Raw genomic sequence first — 21,570 nt, forward strand, 5'->3', positions numbered from 1 at the left:
CTACAAATCTCCCCATTTTCTGAGCCTCAGTCTCCTCATCTGTAAAATGGGGGCAGTGCTCTCTATAACAGGGTAAGGCTGCGAGGATTAATTAACATAGATAAATCTCAAAAACAACATACAAGTACCTGCTGTAAAATTCTAATTTTGTGATATTCCAGAACAGTCAAATTTCATCTATGGTGATAGAAGCTGGAACAGTGTCCTGGTTACGCAGGCAGCTTGTTTGGGAATAGGCACGAGGGAAGGTTCTGGGGTACCGTAAATACCTTGCTTATTCTGGTGGTTACACAGATATATACTATTGTCAAAATGTACTGAACTGTACAATTAAAAATCTGTGCATTTTATTATATGCAAATTATACCTCAATAAGAAAATACACTTAAAATTGTTTAAATGTCTGTAACATCAGGTAAAGGTGATCTATAAAAGCCTGAAAGGCTAATTTTGGGAGTCTGTTTCTTTCTGAAATATCCTGAATGATCTTGGTCTTGATTGTTTAATGGTTTTATGTATAATGTTGATACATGCAATTAAATTTTGATAGGGAAAAATAGAGAGAGAGAGAGAGATTGAGATTATTGTCTGTGAATTGCCCAGAACTTTAAACTCTAGTTTTTTGTGCTACCTTTTAATCTCTTTTCCTCTTTGGAACATTTACCTCTATCTTATTTCTTTTTATTCCCTCACCTCTTCCCCCATTTTCTTCATTCCCTTTTTTCTTCCTTGTGGGAGATCACTTGTCTGTGATGTTTGGCATCACTTGTACTAGCTTGGAACTCTAAAAAAATTTAAACAGCTTGCAGAGAGTGTAATAGTGATTTCTCACAAAGAGATACTTAATTTAGCATCAACTGAGTGTCGTTTAGGATTTTATCTTCACAGTGTAAGAGTTTCTGTTTTAGTTGGCCAGTAGTCTTAATTCAGAAAATTTTTTCACTTGGTGATCCTGAAGCAGTTCAGATAGAATGCTTTCTCATCCTCCATTAGCCACACACGTGCTCCTAAAATTACCCAGGTATTTCAGCAGATAAACATGCATATTCTGGGCACCCACCAGAATTGTTGTATTTTTCATTCATGTCAAACACACACATTCCCCTCGCCCCAACAAAATTCCATTTGTTTCCTGTAGATTTGCATTGAGAGGCAGATTTTCTAGCTAGTGGAAAGTTCCGGGTAACTACTTTTTGCTACTCGAAATCCTAGCAAAAGCACTTCCCAGTGCCCACCTCCGCTCCTGGGCTAGTTCCCTTTTCCTGCTGAAGAGTAATTAGCACTCCCTGCAAATGCCCGTCAAGCACTTGTGCCCCACCACTTGCTACCTGTGTGACCTCAGTCAAATTACCTCATCTCTCTGTGCTTTGGTTTCCTCATCCAAGATAATGCTCTCTGGCTGCCAATCATACACAATACCTCCAGGCATCTGGTGCTGCTTCTTAGTAGTGCTGAATCAGGATATGTGGAAGCAGGGAAGGTCAGAATTGGTGTTATATGATCCATCTATGTAAGAAGATACGAATTTATTCCTTCTTTGCTTCATTTCATGAAACTGGCCATTGTTATGTTGCTGCTTGGCTGCATCTTCTCTTTTTCATCTCTGATCACTCCCTGGTACCCAAATGATTCACAGCCCCCTGCACGCCCAGACTCCTGCCCAAGTGAGACGCGCTGACCCAGCCTGCCCACTCCAGCAGGGTCCCTCCTCTAGCCCACTCTTCACACCTTCCTGCCCATCAAAGCTACCTTGTTCTCGGTCCCATTCCCTTTTATGGCTGCCAGATGACAAACCAGCTAATTGGAGCTGTGTTGGTGACCATATTGGTAATAATGATAATTATTCCTTTTTGAGCTCCTAATTCGGTTCTGGCACAATGCTGGGAACTGCATTTACATTATCTTAATCTTCACATGACACCACAATCCACTTCTGAGTAAAGAATGCTGAGGTTCAGAAAGGTTACATAAGTTGGCTATGGTTGGGAGGAAAAGGGACAAAACTGGAATTCAGGCCCAGGTAATCAAACTTTAAACTTGTGATCTTGCCCCACCTTGCCCCACAATGTCCCACTAGTAATGACTTAATGTATGGTTTTTTTCCATACTGTTTCCATTTTAATAGGAATCATCAACACCTTAATAAGAGGAGTGAATAACAGGAGCATTTCAGACTACCAGGGTGAGATGGTTTTGAAAAAGGAGTACTTTGCAGTTCCCATAGGACCTCAGAATAGAGAGATGTTTGCTTTTGAGAGTTGTTCACAGACATTCAAAGTGACCCTTGAATATTTCTAATTCAAAAGTCAGTGCCCACATTTCTATCACTCACCTCAAGCTAAAATCAGTAGTTTACCTGGGCCAGGTGCAGTTGCTCATGCCTATAATCCCAGCAATTTGTGAGGCTGAGGCAGGAGGACCACTTGAGCCCAGGAGTTCCAGACCAGCCTGGACAACATAGTGAGACTTCATCTCTACAAAGAATAAAGGCGAAATTAGCCGGGCATGGTGACACACGCCTGTGGTCCCAGCTACCTGGGAGGCTGATGTGGGAAGATCGCTTGAGCCCTGGAAATTGATGCTGCAGTGAGCTGAGATTGCACCACTGCCCTCCAGCCCGGGTGACAGAGTAAGAACCTGTGTCAGAAAAAAAAAAAAAAAATCTTACCCTGGTCAAAGTGAATGGTTTTAAAATCAGAGTCCACTAGGCCAGGCAAAGTGGCTCACGCCTGTAATCCCAGCACTTTGGGAGGCTGAGGCAGGCGGATCATGAGGTTAGGAGATCGAGACCATCCTGGCTAACATGGTGAAACCCCATCTCTCCTAAAAATACAAAAAAAAAACACAAAAAATTAGCTGGGCGTGGTGGCGGGCGCCTGTAGTCCCAGCTACTCTGAATCTGAAGGCTGAGGCAGGAGAATGGTGTGAACCTAGGGGGTGGAGCTTGCAGTGAGCCAAGATTGTGCCACTGCACTCCAGCCTGGGCAACAGAGTGAGACTTCGTCTCAAAAAAAAAAAAAAAAAAAAAATCAGAGTCCACTGTGCCCATTACCTGGTCCCTGCCACAGCCAAGGTACTGAAAAGGTTGCAGATATGTAAGTAAAATCCTATATTAGGCTCATAAACTTGTGGAATTGTTATTTTTAGTGATATTATTGATGACTTAATTCATTTTATTTGTAATGATAGCCTTTTCCGGGGTTGATCAGTTAAGTACTGGTTTCATGGCATCTCAATGTCTGCAGTGTGTCCAGTCCAATTCAATAACCATTTGAATCCCAGAGTTGTGGACAATCCTCACTGACAATTTATGACTCACAAGATGGCAAAAACATTAAGGATACCTTAGGCTAATTTGAAACTGAGCAGAATATAAGGAATTCCATTACTTTATTTGTGGATTACTTTTGTTAACTAGGCAACGATGACATCATAGATGCCCTGAAGCTACCTGGAGTTAGGTCAGGCCATTGTCAAATTAACTTAATGATTTACATGGGCACTGCATGTTGCAGCATATTCTCTTTCTCTCTTACCCAGCTTTGTAACAAGCAGAACCTACTTTTTAGTGAAATGAATGATGCCCTCCTTGTCTTATGACTTCCTTGATTATAGTTTTATTCCTTCTGTAGCTACCTTCTTTTATGGTTCAGGTAAAAGCCTTTCTTTAGTAGAAGGGAAAAAGAGAATTTAAAAATAAAAGGTCTCTAACCCTATTATTTGTATCAGTGTTTCTCCAAAAGTTGGACTTTGGGGAGCAGGGAAGCAGTTGCTGCAGGGAGGATGATGGCCACTAGCTTTCTTGGTTGTATCAACGAAATCTCTGGTCCTTCTTCCGCCTGCCTGTTGTCCATGGCTGGACCCATTTATGGAGCTCAACAAAATCATCCAGCAGGTTCACCTGCCACCTCTCCCGCTTGTCTGTCCCCATTAGTATCTCCTCCAGCTTTGGAGTCACACAGCCTTGTGCTGATGTCAACCACGTATTGGTCATGAAACCCTAGGAAAGTTCTTTAATCTTTCTGAGCCTCATTTTTCTCATTCGTCTAAAGGGAAAATAGTCCTGACTTTCAGGGTTCTGATGGATATCCAATAAAACAGCATGGTGTAAGTGCCCAGCAACATGCCTAGAGCATAGTAAGCACTCCACAAATTTGAGTTCTCCTCCTGTCAGCCGCTTCTTCACACAGAGCCGTTCTGACGGTGTGCAGAGGAGGGTCTGATTTCTAGCTTGAAGTCATGGGAGAGCTCCCTGGTTAGGAGATGAGAGTGAAGCAGGGGAAGTTCAGGCGTTTTCACACAGTTCAAGGTCTTTTGACTGTGCTTTTGACTAACTTAATTCCCAAACTTGACAGGCAAAAGAAACTGAACTAAGTAAACTCATCTCTTCTAAGGCTTTTTATCCCAGCTGCTGCCTTGAGGAGGTTCTTGCTATTTCAGAGAAGAGCAATCATGACACCAAACAGTCATTATCCTGCCCACTTACCTCAGGACCCACATTGCCTGGGTGGCAGTGGCTCCAAAACAAAGAAATACTGAGAGATTTGTCAATTCTGAGAAACTAATTTGACTTATGTTAGCCAAGAACCAGGTTTTCATTTTATTGAACGGACCTTTTCCTTCACTAATCGGCTTTCCGTCTTGTGAATGTGGCTGGCCAAAGAGGGCCAGACATGGGCCCTGCTTGGCTTGCGATTCATCTAGAGGCTTTCCGAAAACATCAGGCACCCCCAGCTTCCTGTTGAAGCCGACAGGCTTTCAACAGCCTCTTTGTGGATGCCTTTCCATATGAATTATGTCTGAGCTTGCTCTAGGAAACATTCCAGGTCCACTCTTATTTATGAGGGCATTTTCAGCATGTGAGGTGCTTGGTACATTAGCCTTAATCCTCAGGATTCTTCATTCTTCAAAAAACACAGAGCCAGGAGCAGTGGCTCATGCCTCTATCCCAGCTACTTGGGAGGCTGAGGTGGGAGGACTGCTTGAGGCCAAGCGTTCAAGACCATCTTGGGCAACATAGCGAGACACTAACTCTAAAAAAGAAATTTAAAAAAATAGATAGATAGATAGATAGATAGATAGATAGATAGATAGATAGATAGATAGACAGACAGACAGACAGATAGAGAGAATGTGCATTTATGGTCCAGGGGTCAAATTTGGTACAAAGACATGAGTTTATTTTCCTTTGTTTATCCCCAAACGTTTTTATTATTAAATTATTTATACAGCAAAGTTGAAAGAATTTTACAGTGAACCCTCCTAGCCCCCATTCAACCACTAACATTTTACTATACTTGGCTTATCACATATACTTGGCTTATCCATCTACCCCTCCCTCTAGCCATCCATCAATCTTTATTTTTTGATACATTTTAAATTAATTTGCAGACATCAGTATACTTCCTCCTAAATATTTCAGTGTGCTAGAATAAGAAATGCAGTTCAGGTGCAGTGGCTTACACCTGTAATCCCAGCACTTTGGGAGGCTGAAGTGGGAGGATCACTTGAGCCCAGGAATTTGAGACCAGCTTGAGCAACAACACAGTGAAACCCTAGCTCTACAAAAAATTAAAAATAAGAAAATATTAGCTGAGCATGATGGCACGTGCTTGTGGTCCCAGCTACTTAGGAGCCTGAGGTGGGAGAATCGCTGGAGCTTGGGAGGTCAAGACTGCAGTGAGCAGAGATCATGCTACCATACTCCAGCCTGGGTGACAGAGCAAGACCCTGTCTCAAAAAAATTGTTTTAATAATCACTATAAAATTAATTAAAAAGAGAAATACACAGATTTAATATATATATTCACTAAGTTTTGACCAATGCATGCACCTATGTAACCCAAACCTCTATCAATAGAGCACTGCTACCCCCAGAAAGTTTCCTCATACCCCTTGTAAGTCCCCATCTGCTGAAGCAAGCACCCTTCTGAATTTTTCTACCATTAATTAGTTTTGTCTGTTCTAGAATATCACATAAATGGAATCATTAGGTTGTTCTTTTTTTCTGTGTGGTTCTTTCACTCACTATAATGTTTTTGAGATTGATCCAAATTGTTGCATGCATCAATAATGTCTTCCTTTGTATTGCTAAGTAGTATTCCATTCTATGCATATATCACAGTTTATCCATTCTCATTTTGATGGACACTTGGCTAGTTTCAAGTTTCCTAGTCAACATGATAAAGCTGCTAAGAACACATCTAGACAAGTCTTTTTTCTTTTCTCTTGGGTAAATACCTAGGAGTAGAATTTCTGGGTCATAGAATAGGCATATATTTGGTTTTATAATAAATTACCAAAATTTTTCTGAAGCAATTGTACCATTTACATTCCCACCAACAATGTATTAATATTAATATGAGAGTTCCAGTAACTCTAAATCTTAGCCAACATTTGATGTTATCAGTCTTAGCCATTCTGATGGGTGTATAGTGGTACCTCATTGTGGATTTAATTTGCATTTTCCTGGTAACGAATGGTGTAAAGCACTTTTTCATTATATGGTGATTTTATTAAAAATTTAATTAACATACTATCGTTTAAAAATCTAGAGTTTTACATAAGGATCCTAATTCTCAGCTGTTCATGAAATATTAAAGGACCTAGCAAAACTGGGCTCATATTTCCACATGGGAACAATCAACAGAAGCCACGAAGTAGCTGTGCCTTTAGGGGAACTGTTCTTTGGTTTCCCAGAGTCCCTCACCCACCCCATAACTCCCTAGTTGTCCGTTATCATACATCATCACATTTGCACTGTTGTTTTCTTTCGTATTAAGAGGAAAGTGAGAGTTTCTTGAACCCACATCATTATCAATCTAGGAAAATTAAAGGTGGATCAAGAGGGCCTTATGTTTCAAGAAAGGTAGAAAACCCACATTTCTTTGTGGCAATGAGAAAATGTTCCTACAATGTTTAATATGTAAATTAAATGGGTCTATTTTAAAAGGTTGCCACTTAAAGCTTTATAAGGAAACTGCCTGGTTTTACTCCTTTTTATTATCTGCCTAGTCCCTTCAGGATTTTGAGTTTGTAACTCCTATAATAGAACACTTAACACTGATACATTATGTCTCAAGGCTGCACTAACTGGGGCTTATTTAGATATACATAGGAATCTAATTTCATGTCCTTTTATTGAAAAAGGAAAAAAAAAAAAGCCACTCCAATAATACTTCATTTAGAATATTTTATGTGTTAGGAAATATTGAGACTAAAAAAAAAATTGTTTCACTTTCTCAAATTCTGTAATTTTGTTTTTAATTCCAGGATTGTAAGTGGAAAATGTATATGGAGATGGATGGGGATGAAATTGCAATAACCTACATAAAAGATGTGACATTCAACACTAACCTACCTGATGCGGAGATTTTAAAGATGACAAAGGTAGGGTTCTATTTACGGCTTAAAAGCTCTTTTGAATTCACAGATATCAAACAAAGACATTAAAATACCCCAGCAGTGTGCTTTTGTGCTTGTCCATGCTCACATCAGCTCAGCCTCGAGCTGGCTGTTGAAAGGCACATTTTATTTAGCAGACTGAGATCATAATAGGTTTTTGTTAAAATTCTACTTATGCTGTGTGAACTAAAAAGCACTGCAAAAAGGTATCGTTTAATTTTTTTTTAATTTTTTTGTCTATTATTTCTTTATGCTTACTCTGCCATTTATTAAAGGAGGGAAAATGTGAACGATGAAAATATTTACTTCAAATTTTGACTATTTAAACTTTGGAAAACTTTTCCCGGAGAATGACTTTCTTGGTTGAGGTCAATTTCCTGAAGGACTGAGATGAGGTTAATTATGAGGCACACAGTGAAGTCTTAATGGCTTCCTTAAGTTCACACCTATGAATTCCTGGAGTGGCCAGAGAACATGTTACTACTCCAGGGTCAATGGTGGAAGCATGTTGATGGAAGCATGCTGATGAAAACAAGAAAGACTTGTGGAAATGCTTAGCTTGCTCCTCAAAATGGAAAAAAATTCAATTCTGTCCCAATCATACTGGAACAATACATATGAGACTTCAATTGTAGAAGGTCAACAACTTCAGGTAAATAACCATGAAGTCAACAGGATAGTCACCATAACCTCACATAATCCATTAACTGTAATACACTATTCACCAGGTCTTTGGTTTCAGTGAAGAAAGTGGGGCGTGTAGCAAAGGACCCAGATACAAACACAAATAGGGAACTAAAATGGTTCTTCAAAGACATGCATTAGAGTGCACATCAGAGTGCTAAACCACCAAGTCCTTTTAATTTGCAAGTGGACATCAAGCAGATTGATTTGATATTCATTGTTGGATTCCACTGTGCATCTAGGAGTTATTTCCATGGCATTATTTATCTGTAAGGGTTGTCACTTGGTTTTACCTTTTTCTTATTTTGTCAGGACACAGTATGTTGTCTTGAAGACTGGAAAGATATTTCCTTTCTTCCCCACCCATACCACGGAGTTGTAAAACTGAATATAAGTGTTTCTGCTATCATGCCATACATACAAAATCACACAGCAACATTAACAGGCTTATAAGAAAACTAGAACTGGGACAGACCAATCGAAAGTTATAGAATTTTTAAACATCAACCGAAACAATAATAATCCTAATTTAAAACAAACAAACGACAGCAACAACAAAAAACTAGCCCAGGCTGGGTGCAGTGGCTCACACCTGTAATCCCTGCCCTTTGGGAGGCTGAGGTGAGCAGATCACTTGAGGCCAGGAGTTGGAGACCAGCCTAGACAACATGGTGAAACCCCATCTCTACGAAAAATACAAAAAATGAGCCAGGTGTGGTGGCGTGCTCCTGTAATCCCAGCTACTTGAGAGGCTCAGCCTTGAGAATCACTTGAACCCAGGAGGAAGAGGTTGCAGTGAGCCAAGATCGCACCACTGCACTCCAGCCTGGGCGACAGAGTGAGACTCAGTCTCAAAGAAAACCTAGCCCAGCTAAATCTCTATCACATTTTCTTTGAACCCAGCTCACAGCCAGTCATTCCTTTGCAGCCTTAAACCTGAAGTGAAAGGGGGATGGCAGGAGAGTACAGCTTATTTCTGAGGCTGTTTTTATCATAATTAAAATAGGATCAAAGCTACAGGCTTCCTCACTAATCCTTTGTTTTAATATAGTGGGAAAACATAACCATGGTTTCTTCATGTGTATGTGCAGCTTTGCTGGATAGTGTGATGTCATGGAAAGCAGAGCGATTGTTGAAGCCACTAAACCAGCCACGGCTTTACTCAAGGAAAGCACTTCTGGGTCTTCTCATATTGCTATGGATTTCTCTTAATTGTTGGGAAGTTTTCCAACTGATGCTTCAAACTTTAGCAAGAATTAATGACCTAATGATAGGATTGAGTGATAGCAAATGTTATATCGGAAAAGAAGATTGTGGGAGGCCATGACTAGCTGTTTACAAATATACAAAAGGATGTCTTATGAAAAGCAAAACTTCAAACATTAGCATGTTGTGAGTGATCACATGAGAACCAACAAGGCTTTCATGATAATCTGATATTATGCCCCTATTTGCTAATTGTGTATGGCACAACCGGCCTCAAAGAAACATACTATAGTAGAGCAGACTGTGTTATGGTACTACACCATCCTAACTTTTGTTTTTCAGCCACCATTTGTAATGGAGAAGTGGATTGTAGGAATAGCAAAAAGTCAGACTGTGGAGTGCACTGTCACATATGAGGTAAGCTCTGGGGGCAAGAGGCTGGTGGCCTCACCATCAGTTAATGAATATAAATTTATCTGTTATCTCAGAGCATATAATTTATTGGGAGATATACCCAGAGCATATAATTTATTGGGAGTAAACCAACCAACATGAACATAGGAAGATCAATATAATTTCTCTCACAACGTGTTGGGAAGAAAAGAGAACAGGATAAACTTACCCAGATAGCGACTGAGGTAGTACTTCAGTCATTCATTAGTTATGGATTGAACACCTTCTGTATACCATGTAAGATGTTTGGTATTGGGGATACTAATAGTTAATACTAATTTTTTTTAAATCAACAAGATCTTCATGGCTGGTAGGACATACACCTTACAAGGTACGTAGACCCGGTGGGAGTGGGTGGAAGGCAACAGTTATAGTACAGTCTTGGCACACCTGGAAATATTAGTGTGCACCCACCATCAAAGGGACATGCATTTCATTCATTCATCAATTCATTCATTCAAGAAACATTTATTAAGGATCTACCATGAACCAGGCACTATTAGAGGTGCTTACACCAGTTTGATCACACTAACTTCATGTAAATCAATACTGAAAAATATCGTCCAGGCGCAGTGGCTCACACCTGTAATCTCAGTACTTTGGGAGGCTGAGGTGGGCAGATCACTTGAGCCCAAGAGTTTGAGACCAGCCTGGGCAGCATTATGAAACCCTATCTCTACAAAAAATACAAAAAGTAGCCAGGTGTGGTGGCACATGACTATGGTCCCAGCTACTCGGGAGGTTGAAGTCGGGGGATTGCTTGAGCCCAGGAGGTTGAGGCTGCAGTGAGCCGAGATCACACCACTGCACTCCAGCCTGGGTGAGACAGTGAGACCCCTGTCTCCAGAAAAAAAAAAAAATACTGAAAGATATTATTATCCTCATTTTGCAGATAGGAAGAATAGGCTCAGAGAGATGAAAGGAAGTCTTGAGGTGTGAGGTCCTCACTGACAGAATTGTTGAAGTCAATTCCATGTTTTCTGACTATAAAAAACACTTTCTGCGCTTCCCTGGCTACCCTGTTAGCTCCCAGTGGCTGCAGTAAGATGAAGTCCACCTCAAAGAGGACTCTGTGAGTGTGGCATTTTGATGGTTTCCTGGGCTGCCAGGATTTGGCTTTTCAATATTAGAAATACAAACCCTGGGCCAGGCACGGTGGCTCAAGCCTGTAACCCCAGCACTTTGGGAGGCCAAGGCGGGTGGATCACCTGAGGTCAGGAGTTCGAGACTAGCCTGGCCAACATGGTAAAACGTCATCTCTACTAATAATACAAAAATTAGCTGGGCATGGTGGTGCATGCCTGTAATCCCAGCTACTCAGGAGGCTGAGGCAGGAGAATCGCTTGAACCCTGGATGCAGAAGTTGTGGTGAGCTGAGATTGCGCCATTGCACTCCAGCCCAGGAGACAAGAGCAAAACTGTCTCAAAAAAGAAAAAAAAAAAGAAAAGCAAAGCAATACAAACTCTGGCCAGTCCACTTATCCAGGCTGGAAGCCAAAAAGTTTTACAGCAGTTATTTATCCTCACCTGCTGGGGTGCACAGGTTGTCAGGGATGAGGCATCTGAGAAGTTATATTACTTGTCAAAGCATTGCTTGCAAGGTGCAAAACCCAAACAAAAGAGGCTGGTTGGTCTTGAGGAACTTGGAAACTAGACTACTCTACAGCCTGTTAACTGGTCCTCACTACCCAGGAAAAGCCCTCTTGTTAGTAATCGGACAATTAGAACAACCAGATTCTACCTCTGCCTGCCTTAGACAGTTTTGGAGACAGCACACCCAGTTCTCTTTTTCTTCTTCTCTCTCCCTCCTCCTCCTTTTTCAGACCCCATGATGATATGCCACTTTTGTCTGGGTTTTTCACTTCAGAGTTTTTTAAAACAGATTTCCCTAACCATATTGAATCCTGGAGACTCTTTAATTGACACTGATTGGTGACAGCTAGTGAGGAGGGAGATTTCAGAACAAGAAAGTAATGTGTCTTGACCTAGTGTCCTCTCCTTTTCCTGGTCCCCATTTCTTACTTCTTGATCCTGTCTCACTTTTGCATCTGAGACCCTTTCCCCTCCGTGCAGGTAATTCACCCCACCACCTTCACTCAGTTTCCTTGATGATCCAAATTCAGTCTTAGGCAAACATGGTGGTCAGATTTTCATTTATTCAACAAAATAGCTGTCATCAAGTACTATAAATAGAAGATGTAATTTTTTATTTCTTATTAAACAAAGAGGTAAGTTGAGATTTGTCAAATATAATAAATTCTGGGAAAAGACAACCATATTTTTTAGCTACTATAGTTTACTAAGAAATTTATGTTATAATCCATTAAGGAATAAGTGCTATAACCCACTAAGAAATAAAGTGGTTAAAATTTTTCTTTTCATTGAATTAGCATATTTGGGCCAACTGTTCAGAATATTTTCCTAGTGCATTATGATAGTGTTCTAAGAGGTGAAACTGAAGTGATATAATAACCTGGATGACTTTCTTTCCCATTTTATATATGTGTGTCTATTTGGTCATATGTTTCTATTTGTCTTTTTTTTGTCTTTTTCGTTTGTTTGTTTTACCAGAGTGATGTTAGAACTCCAAAAAGCACTAAACATGTCCATTCGATTCAGTGGAGTAGAACAAAACCTCAGGATGAAGTGAAAGCAGTCCAACTTGCCATTCAGACATTATTCACCAATTCAGATGGCAACCCTGGAAGCAGGTCCGACTCAAGTAAGTTAGTGTTCCCGTATTAGATGTGTGCTAGATTCCAGAAACTTAATTATGACATTTCCAGATGATCTAAAGACTCAGAGGATACCACCTCAATCAGTTAAGATCTATCTTTGAGCTTCGAGTAGCAGAAAACCCAGTTGCAACTGGCTTACTCCAATAATTCCCCAAGTGTGGCCCCAGGACCAGGAGCATCGGGATCACCTGTGAACTTGCTAGAAATCCAGATGCTCAGGCCCAAACCCAGACTTACTGAATCAGAACTCTGGGGATAGGAGCTGCAGTCTGCATTTTAAGGAGCCTTCCCAGTGATTAAGAACAACTCTAAAGTCCTTAAGCCACTGATTTAAACTGTAATAAAATTTATTATCTTCCATAACAAGAAGCCCAGAGGTAGGGCAGGCTCCAGGTGCAGTAAGATAAGCTGGCTCAACCATATTCAGAGAGTGGAATGAACCTTCCCTTCTTTCTGCCCTGCCATGCTCAATAGGCTGCCTTTGCCCTCGGCTCCTCTCCTGTTTACAGTCATCACACAAAGATATCACAACGCCCAGAGGAAATAACGGGTTAGGTCCCTACCTGTTCTTATATATAGGAGTAAGGAAAACTTTTCTAGAAACCCCCAACAGACTACCCGTCAGCAATTCTGCTTTGGCCAGAATGGAGCAACCTGTCCGTTCCTAAACATAGCATGAGCACATCTGACTTAAACTAATTAAAGTCGATCCCTGGAGCCAGAATGCAGTCAACTCTCCCGATCACGTGGCTACATGGAGGGGGATGGAGACTGAGCAAAATCAGGGTTCTATTGGAAGGCAAAATTCCAGAGAAGTCAAGGCGAGGAAAGAAGGCATTGTGATTCTGTATGCTACTGCTCATGTGACGTATGTAAAGTAGTCAAAGTCACAGAAACAGGAAGTAGAAGACAGTTAACAAGTGGCGGTCAGGGGGCAGGGGAGAAGGGAGGGGAAATGGAGAAAGAGGAAGGTAGAGATTAGTGGGTATAGAGTTTCAGTGTTGCAAGATGAAACAGTTACAGAGATCCGCGCAACAATGTGAATATACTAACACTACTGAACTAGAGGCTTAAAAATGGCTAAGATGGAAAATGTGGTTTTTACCACAATAAAATACACACATACACACAACAACAACAACAGAAGAAGGCATTGTGATGGACTGAAGCCTGGGAGGAGTCTCTGGAATTGTCTGGACAAGTCACTCACTTCAGAGCTCGGGGTCACCTGTGCCCAGGCAGTGAGGAGACAGAGACATGTGCATGCTCTGATACTCTCCACGCGCACTATCTGCGTGAGCAGGGGGTGGAGTAGCTGAGGAAGCTGAGGCTGGGAGGACCACCCAGGAACTCTAGAACATGGGTAACGTTGTTCAGGCTCGGGGGAAAACAGAAAAGATCTCAGGTGTGAGGAACTTGCTTATTCACTGAAATATAGCTTACTAAATGGTTCTTGTTAATTCACCATTTTCTTTTATCTTAACTTCTTCCTATCTGCCAATGCAGCTTCATTTTTTTATGCTGAAAATACTTCTTATTCCCGAGCCTCAGGATCTCTCCTGTGGACACGTGAACGGTCTTTCTTCCAAACAATCTCTAGCTGTCTCAACCTTCGGAACCTCATTTCTCTTATCTGCATTTAGGGTCCTTGAGGTTTTAAAAATGCAGGTGGCAAAACAAACCTTTTGTTTACTAAACATGCCCCTGCCACCTGAACATACTTTCTAGAAGTAACAACACAACTATGTAGGAAGAAGATGGGATTTAGATGCAGAAGGACTTGGTATTATTGACTGAGTGATCTTGGGCAAGTCATTTGACCTCTCAAGCTTCCTCATTTATAGAATAAAACTATTAGTGTTTACCTAAGAAGATTACTGAGAGGATTAAATGAGATAGTGTAAGTAAAGCCCATGGAACAATGCCAAGCACATAGCATATATTGAATAAGTGTAAATGTCCTTATTTTTTAAAGTATTTGTAATAAAAGAAACGTCCTTATACATAGCCTAGAATTTCTATGAATGGTAAAGCTTAGAGCATCCCAAACAGCCCTGAATTATCCTAAGACAGGCGTATGAATTAGACATGCAGCTTTAGTGTGGCTTAAAAGATGCTCATTTCCATTTCTCCCGCAGGTGCTGATTGCCAGTGGTTAGATACTCTGAGGATGCGGCAGATTGCATCCAACACTTCTTTACAGCGTTCCCAGAGCAATCCTATTCTGGGGTCACCGTTCTTCTCACACTTTGATGGCCAGGATTCCTACGCTGCTGCTGTGAGACGGCCCCAGGTGCCCATTAAGTATCAACAGATTACACCTGTGAACCAGTCCAGAAGCTCGTCTCCTACTCAGTATGGACTGACCAAAAACTTCTCTTCCCTACATCTCAACTCTAGGGACAGTGGCTTTTCCAGTGGCAATACTGACACCTCTTCAGAGAGGGGTCGATACTCAGACAGAAGCAGGAACAAATATGGACGTGGTAGTATATCACTCAATTCTTCTCCTAGAGGAAGATACAGTGGAAAGAGTCAGCATTCCACTCCTTCAAGAGGAAGATACCCTGGAAAGTTCTACAGGGTTTCTCAGTCAGCACTCAATCCTCACCAGTCGCCTGACTTCAAGAGAAGCCCCAGGGACCTCCACCAACCCAACACCATACCAGGGATGCCTTTGCACCCTGAGACTGACTCAAGAGCCAGTGAAGAGGACAGCAAAGTCAGCGAAGGGGGCTGGACAAAAGTGGAATACCGGAAAAAGCCCCACAGGCCATCTCCCGCCAAAACCAATAAAGAGAGAGCCAGAGGGGACCACCGTGGATGGAGAAACTTTTGATGAATTGAACTACATAGCTTTTCTAAGCAGGTTAAAAAAAAAAAAAAAAAGAAATGTAATGGTTTTTGATAATATGATCCCTTCAGATTGAATTAACGAAAAGACAACACTTCCAGTTTTTGGATTGGGAAATACCTTCTAATTGAGACTATAGCCAAACCAGGGCCAAAATTATGGATATTGGTCACCCAGTGATCATAACTAGGCTTGAAAATCACTACACATATTTTCTGCCTTGAGTGAACATTTTTAGAGGAAAGGTTATGCCATCTTTTTACCCTAACCACTGATATTCTGGTTAGCAGGGCCAGGACAAGGGGAAGGAAAATGAGGTCAACAAAAAAATCAAATTTTTAGGAAAAGATAAGATGAATGTTACTGATTTTTCCTTTTGGCTGAGGCTGCAATATGGCCTGGCAAGGCACTGTTACTGATCTTGTCTTTAACATTTTGATATTTTGTTCATCATAATTTTTGCATTTATTTTTTTAAATATTGCATTAAAATATCATTTAGCTTGATTATCGAGTTTTTTGGTTTGAGGTTTTTTGTTGCTTCTTTTTTCTTTTCTTTCTTTCCCCCTCTTTTTTTTGGATGTCCCCTTAAATTTTGTGCCCAAGGCAGGTACCTCACTCATCTCATCCTTGGCTCAGCCCTGCTGGTTAGTATTTAGTATTTATTTTAGTAAGATATTTGTGTCTGTATGATGGTCAGAGTTGAACTGATCTGGCTTGTCATTTTTCAGTAATAAAAAAAGTTACTGAATTTAATGTTGAATATGATGCATATCTCATTCATTACGATTTATCAGAAACCAAAGATTTAAATTGCCTAGATTTGTGGTTCTTTCTCTTCCTAAGTTCCCAGCGACTGCTTTCAAATACTATTTTCTAAATTTCACCAAAGGAGCAAAGAGGATAAAACAACACTCCATAAAGGCCTCTTGGGATGTCAGAAATCTAAAATCTAAAAGAAAACAGACACAGAGCAAGACAATAACATCACAAGCTAAAAGCCAGAGAAATTTAAAATTACCAACATCCTTGTTGGAGTAAGACAGTAAATATCAGCCTTGCAGCAAGACAGCTCTGAGCAGCTGTGGGCAAAGAGGTAAACCAGTGGGGGTGCAAGGAGACTGTCTGCAGCTTAGGGCAGAAATGGTGGGATCCAACTTGTGAAATGCTTCATGTTTTACAAACCAAAAAGTCAGGTAGCAACAAACTTATTGTATGTCAAATCAATAAATGTTACTTTCAATATTCTGAGATTCTGTTCAGCATTCACTAACCCTGTTTAGCATTCACTAAGCCCTACATAGGATTCTCAGTGCTCTGTAGAAATCCAGAGGACACTCTTCTAATTCTGTGGGTTTGAATTCTTTTTTAAAAGAAGCTGGTCATCAGAGTACATGCATTTGTTCTCAGGGTAGCTCCCCTGCTGTGTGTGATACATTACTTGAGGCCTGGTGGGGAAAACTGTATTTCGGTAGCATTAAAGTCAACGTGGGTGGGGCATGGTGGCTCACGCCTGTAATCCCAACACTTTGGGAGACTGAGGCAGGAGGATTGCTTGAGCCCAGGAGTTCAAGGCCAGCCTGGGTCACCAGCCTATCTGGGTCAGATAGGGAGACACCATCTCTACAAAAAAATACAAAAATTAGTTGAGCATGGTGGCATTTGCTTGTAGTCCCAGCCACTCAGGAGACTGAGGCAGGAAGATCACTTGAGCCTGGCAGGTCAAGGCTGTAGTGAGACGTGACTGCACTGCAGTCTGGGCAACAGACCAAGACCCTGTCTCAATCAATCAATCAATCAATCAATACTAAAGTCAAAATTATAGGAAATGACCTTTATTTACAAGGGAAGTTGTCATCACCTAAACATTGATTCAACAACTTGATTTTATAAAGTTTTACTGGGTGCCAGATGTATTTACAAGCAAAAGCAATGGGAATGGTGTAGTCAGTTAGTGAGGGCCTCTTTTCCATCATGTGTAACCAACTTCTAAGGTTTTCAGCTCCACCATGATTCTTTCTCATGAAGCTATCAAGCACAGCCTGTTTTCAATTATTTTTGCTTTTTGTCCTTCATTTAAAGTAGACTAATGCAAAATATGCTATCTTAATATCATGCTGTTTCTAAATAAGCAATAAAATATTTTCTGTGATCGGAATTTTTGGATAAATAGATGAACAGTCTTGACCGAGTCACTCTGAAAGGAACACAAAGTATGGCCTTCATTGTGAAACAAAATTTGCATTCTGGGGAATTGCTGAAGAGTCTAGTTTAAAAGGCACTATGCAGATCGTTGCTAGTTTCATGCCACTTTCTTCCATCTTGCTTTCTTCGGTTATGGGGTAGGGAATCCAAGCTGGTAATAAAATAACTCAATGATCTCAGCCCTATTTAGTGCAGTCAGTGACTGCAAAGAGGTTATTCCACCAGCCCACAAAACTGACCACTTTGTAATATCTCATGGAAAAATACTTGTCAGCATCAATGCTCCCAGACAAAATCAGAGTAAGAACATCTGCAGTCTGCTTCTTGACTGTAAAGAAATAATAAGTTGGATGTTCTATTTTTTTCTTTTCCTAATGATGCTTATTCACCAAAAGTCACTTGCCAGGTTGAAAGATCAATGTAAGTCAAGAGCAAAGCAGGGATTAACAGGATTTTTTTTTCCCCATAAAAATAAATTAGTAGCCAACAATGAGAAACTATTAGTTGCAAGGAGTGAGGTGGTTAAGACCAAAAAAAAGAAGAAGAAAATAAAAAGGAAAGGGATATTATTCTAGGATTAGGAGAAAAAAATTACAGTAGAACCAAATCGAAAGAGTATATCTTGGACAGGGAACCTCTAAATGTGGAGATTTTCCCTAAATAGGCTTCAGAGCTAGTTTGGAAGTGCCAAGTCTACACTGGTTGCTACCATCGAGGCAGTCTTTAGTCCAGGCAAGGCCCAGACAAAGCAGGATGTTTAGCTCTTTGCACAGTCACCACATTAGCAATACCATGGACCTAGGCTGAATAACTGGATAATCCCAAATCTGTCTAGGAGAACTGGAGATTTTTTTTTTAATCAAGGACTACTTCTGAAAGAAATACAATTAGCAATTGTTTTCAGCCAATTTATAATGAATATTGCTCATAAAAATAAAAAGTATAATATTTAAAACTATTTACAGTAAAATTCAGAACAGTAAAATCTGACCTGGGAAAATTAGGTAAGAAACAGTAACTATAAACGAAAACTCACAGTGGCAGAAGCTATAATTGGTAACGAGCAGTATGAATAACAACAAAAAATTGATATGCAAATCTTCATTGTAAAATTAAAATTGAAAATAATCGATTCCATGGGAAAAAAATCAGTACAATAAAAAATCTGGCCAGGTGCAGTGGCTCACACCTGTTATCCCAGCACGTTGGGAGGCTGAGGCAGGAGGATCCCATAAGCCCAGGAGTTTGAAACATGGGCAACATAATAAGACCCTGTGTCTACAAAATATACAAAAATTAGCGAGGTGTGCTGGCACATGTCTGTAGTCCCAGCTACTGGGGAGGCTGAGATGGGAGGAGCTCTTAAGCCCAGGAGGCTAAGGCTGCAGTGAGCCAAGATCATGCCACTGCACTCCAGCCTGGGTGACAGAGTGGGAACTTGCCTGAAAAAAATAATACACAAATGGGAAACAGCATTATGTTGGATAGGAAACCAATCAGGAAATTAAATTGACATGACATTCATTCCATGAAATGCTTTCTTGACAAAAACATTTCTCAATATTTATATAATTCCGATCAAAATGTTTCATGTATAAGTAAAGTCAAAATGTCTCCAGGATCAAAACAGTAGGGTCAGAATCTCCAATAGTTCAAAATGGCAGGGTCAAAACATCCTGGATACACCTCAAGGCATTCTGACTTAACTGCAACTTTTCCAATTCAGTTGTACCAAAATATTTTATATTTGATAAGCTTTTTAAGTACCTTCTCTACAATTTATCCTTTTACTTCAACAAGTTGGTACAGATGTGGTATGCTTCTACAACTCTGGTTCTCAGAAACTACTCAATTTTAAGATGTCATGATGTAGCTGTGCCACCTTGTTCAGGATGTAACCTCCCTGAAATTTTAAATTATAGAGACTGCACTTAGGAGGTGTATCAACTCTCTTGCCATCATTGGATCTGAGAAACTACAGTGAAGCTGGGGTGCCCTGGGGAAATTAGAGCGAAAGACCTGGACTCAGCTTCTTACTATTTGCTGTTATTGGAACCGGCTTATGAGATTGCTAAAGTGGAAAAAGTGCCAAATGGAGGGTCAAAACTGTCAAGGCTTTAGTGTACCAGCTGACCAAATAATGCATGACCGAACCAACAGAGTTACAGAATGAAAAAGATTTATAACCTCATAGTTCATTCAACACTAAAATCAAGATTCAGTTTCTATAACCAATGTCCCATTACTCAAATCTACCAGAGAAACTCCTTGCCTACCACCACCCTGATGAAACTTACTCAGCTTTCAGGGTCCTGCTGAAGTCCTGCCTCCCTGGAGACCTCCCCCACAGCTCCAGCCACTTCTCCATTCTGCTCCTCTCCAAGGCCCTTTATCACACACTCTCTTGCACCGTTACTTCACCCTGACAAACCCACTCCCTTGCAGGTGCTCTGTGAGTACAGTGCAGTGCTGCCCAAGAACTTGACAATAAGGGAAATAAGACTAAGCTCTGAGAATTAATTGATGAAATGGCTACAATACCTCCCAGGCATGGAAACGTGCTGCAGGTACCAAGCAATCCAAAGAGAGCATGGGTCTTTCAGAGGCTGTGGTGAGTTGGAACAGCCAAAGCTGGTCGTCAATGGAAGCCTAGAAGAACGCAATCCACAAAGGAAAAGGTTAGCCATACTGGGCAAGCAAGACTTTCATGCAGGGCACGACCTGCCCAATCTCAGGTAGTGGCCCTGTAAACTAGATACTATTGTCCAGCATAATCCCTCCCAAAGTGATGTGAGAATCCATTCAGCCTGAGAAATATGTACCTGGTGTCGAGATGGTGCTATAATCCCGCTCCTCTGAACCTCTTCTGCGTCACCCCCACAGTGAAGCAACCACACATCACACTGCAGCCACACTGAATTAGCTGCCAAACCCTCCTTTGTCTTCAAAACTTTGTACTCCTTCTCTCCCCCTACCCCCGATCCAGCTGCCCCTGTATTGTCTGCTTAAGTCACCTTTCAGCTCTCTGCTGAGACATTACCACCTCCAGGAAACCTTTCCAGATCCCCGTGTCTGAGTTAGGCCCGCCCTTGTGACTCACATAGCAACTTTTGGTTACTCAATCATATTTATCCCCCTCTATTGTAATAAATCTCCCAAGATTTGCTCCTCTGTATGCCTCACTGGACTATCGGCTTCATGAAAGCAGGATTGTGCCTATCTTGATCCCCTGTGTATCTCCAATACATAGTTGATAATCTTTCTCCAATACATAGTTGATACTCTATTTGTTGAATGGATTAATTGATTAACTTATTAATCAGGCTAACACACATCAAATCATCTAAATTCTTGTTCTAATTTCTTGTTCATTAAGTGACCTTAACAGAAGTCTCCAATCCAGCTAGGAGTTAGGTCTAATGTTGAAATAATTACCATTCTAATTTTATACATCACTCTCCTGTGAGCTTTGCTAATGTGAGTTGGCCCCTAAGTACAACTCTGAGACATTGATTAAGATTTGGAGTGTATTACTGAGAGCAGATTCTGGGTATGCCATAGACCCCAAGGGAAAGGCCAGTCTATTTTTCCTAAGAAGCCCCTTGTATCATAGTGAACTGTGCTAATTTTCCATTTTGAATTTTGACACCTAGCATAGCACTATAAATGCAAGTTCTCAATAAACACCTGTCATAGGAATAAAAAAGAATAGAAATACTATGTATGTTCACAAATAGTCGTGTGTGACTCTACTTATAGATAAAATATTTTGATCTGAATTATATAAATATTGAGAGATGTTTTTGTCAAGAAAGCATTTCATGGAATGAATGTCATTATGTCAATTTAATTTCCCGATTAGTGTGAAATTCGCACATAGATATGTGTGAAATTCACACACAGTCGTGTGAATGTCCTTTTGGACATTCATACAATCTCACTATTTGGCTTTCCTTTTCAGAGGCCCAAAGTTCTGTCTTTTTAATGAATATGAATTGTTCCTGATCCTAGTGCCCTCTACAGTCCT

General features: G+C 40.7%; 1 protein-coding gene and 1 long non-coding RNA gene across 5 annotated transcripts in view, besides 1 other annotated feature; one reads left to right on the forward strand and one right to left on the reverse strand.

Moving 5' to 3' along the window:
• MAP3K20 (mitogen-activated protein kinase kinase kinase 20) overlaps window positions 1-16,589 on the forward strand; it is a 192,499-nt gene extending 175,910 nt beyond the window's left edge. For all 4 annotated transcript variants that reach the window (XM_047444746.1, NM_016653.3, XM_047444747.1 and 1 more), the window contains exons 17-20: window positions 7,273-7,389; window positions 9,637-9,711; window positions 12,319-12,469; window positions 14,624-16,589. In XM_047444746.1, coding sequence (XP_047300702.1) covers window positions 7,273-7,389; window positions 9,637-9,711; window positions 12,319-12,469; window positions 14,624-15,324 — 1,044 coding nt within the window. In that variant the 3' untranslated portion in view covers window positions 15,325-16,589. The remainder of the gene's footprint in view (window positions 1-7,272; window positions 7,390-9,636; window positions 9,712-12,318; window positions 12,470-14,623) is intronic.
• MAP3K20-AS1 (MAP3K20 antisense RNA 1) overlaps window positions 1-21,570 on the reverse strand; it is an 84,325-nt gene that overhangs the window by 53,715 nt on the left and 9,040 nt on the right. Inside the window, exon 2 of the long non-coding RNA NR_033882.1 lies at window positions 20,085-20,192. This is a non-coding gene — a long non-coding RNA (MAP3K20 antisense RNA 1). The remainder of the gene's footprint in view (window positions 1-20,084; window positions 20,193-21,570) is intronic.
• Window positions 13,046-13,553: an enhancer, noted in NCBI's record as "NANOG hESC enhancer chr2:174129200-174129707 (GRCh37/hg19 assembly coordinates)". NCBI's record gives its function as "activates a minimal SCP1, AML or CMV promoter by ChIP-STARR-seq in naive H9 embryonic stem cells {active_cell/tissue: H9 hESC(naive)}" and the evidence as "EXISTENCE:reporter gene assay evidence [ECO:0000049][PMID:30033119]".

Source organism: Homo sapiens, chromosome 2 (assembly GCF_000001405.40).
Source record: "Homo sapiens chromosome 2, GRCh38.p14 Primary Assembly".
NCBI classification, from domain to species: Eukaryota; Metazoa; Chordata; class Mammalia; order Primates; family Hominidae; genus Homo; species Homo sapiens.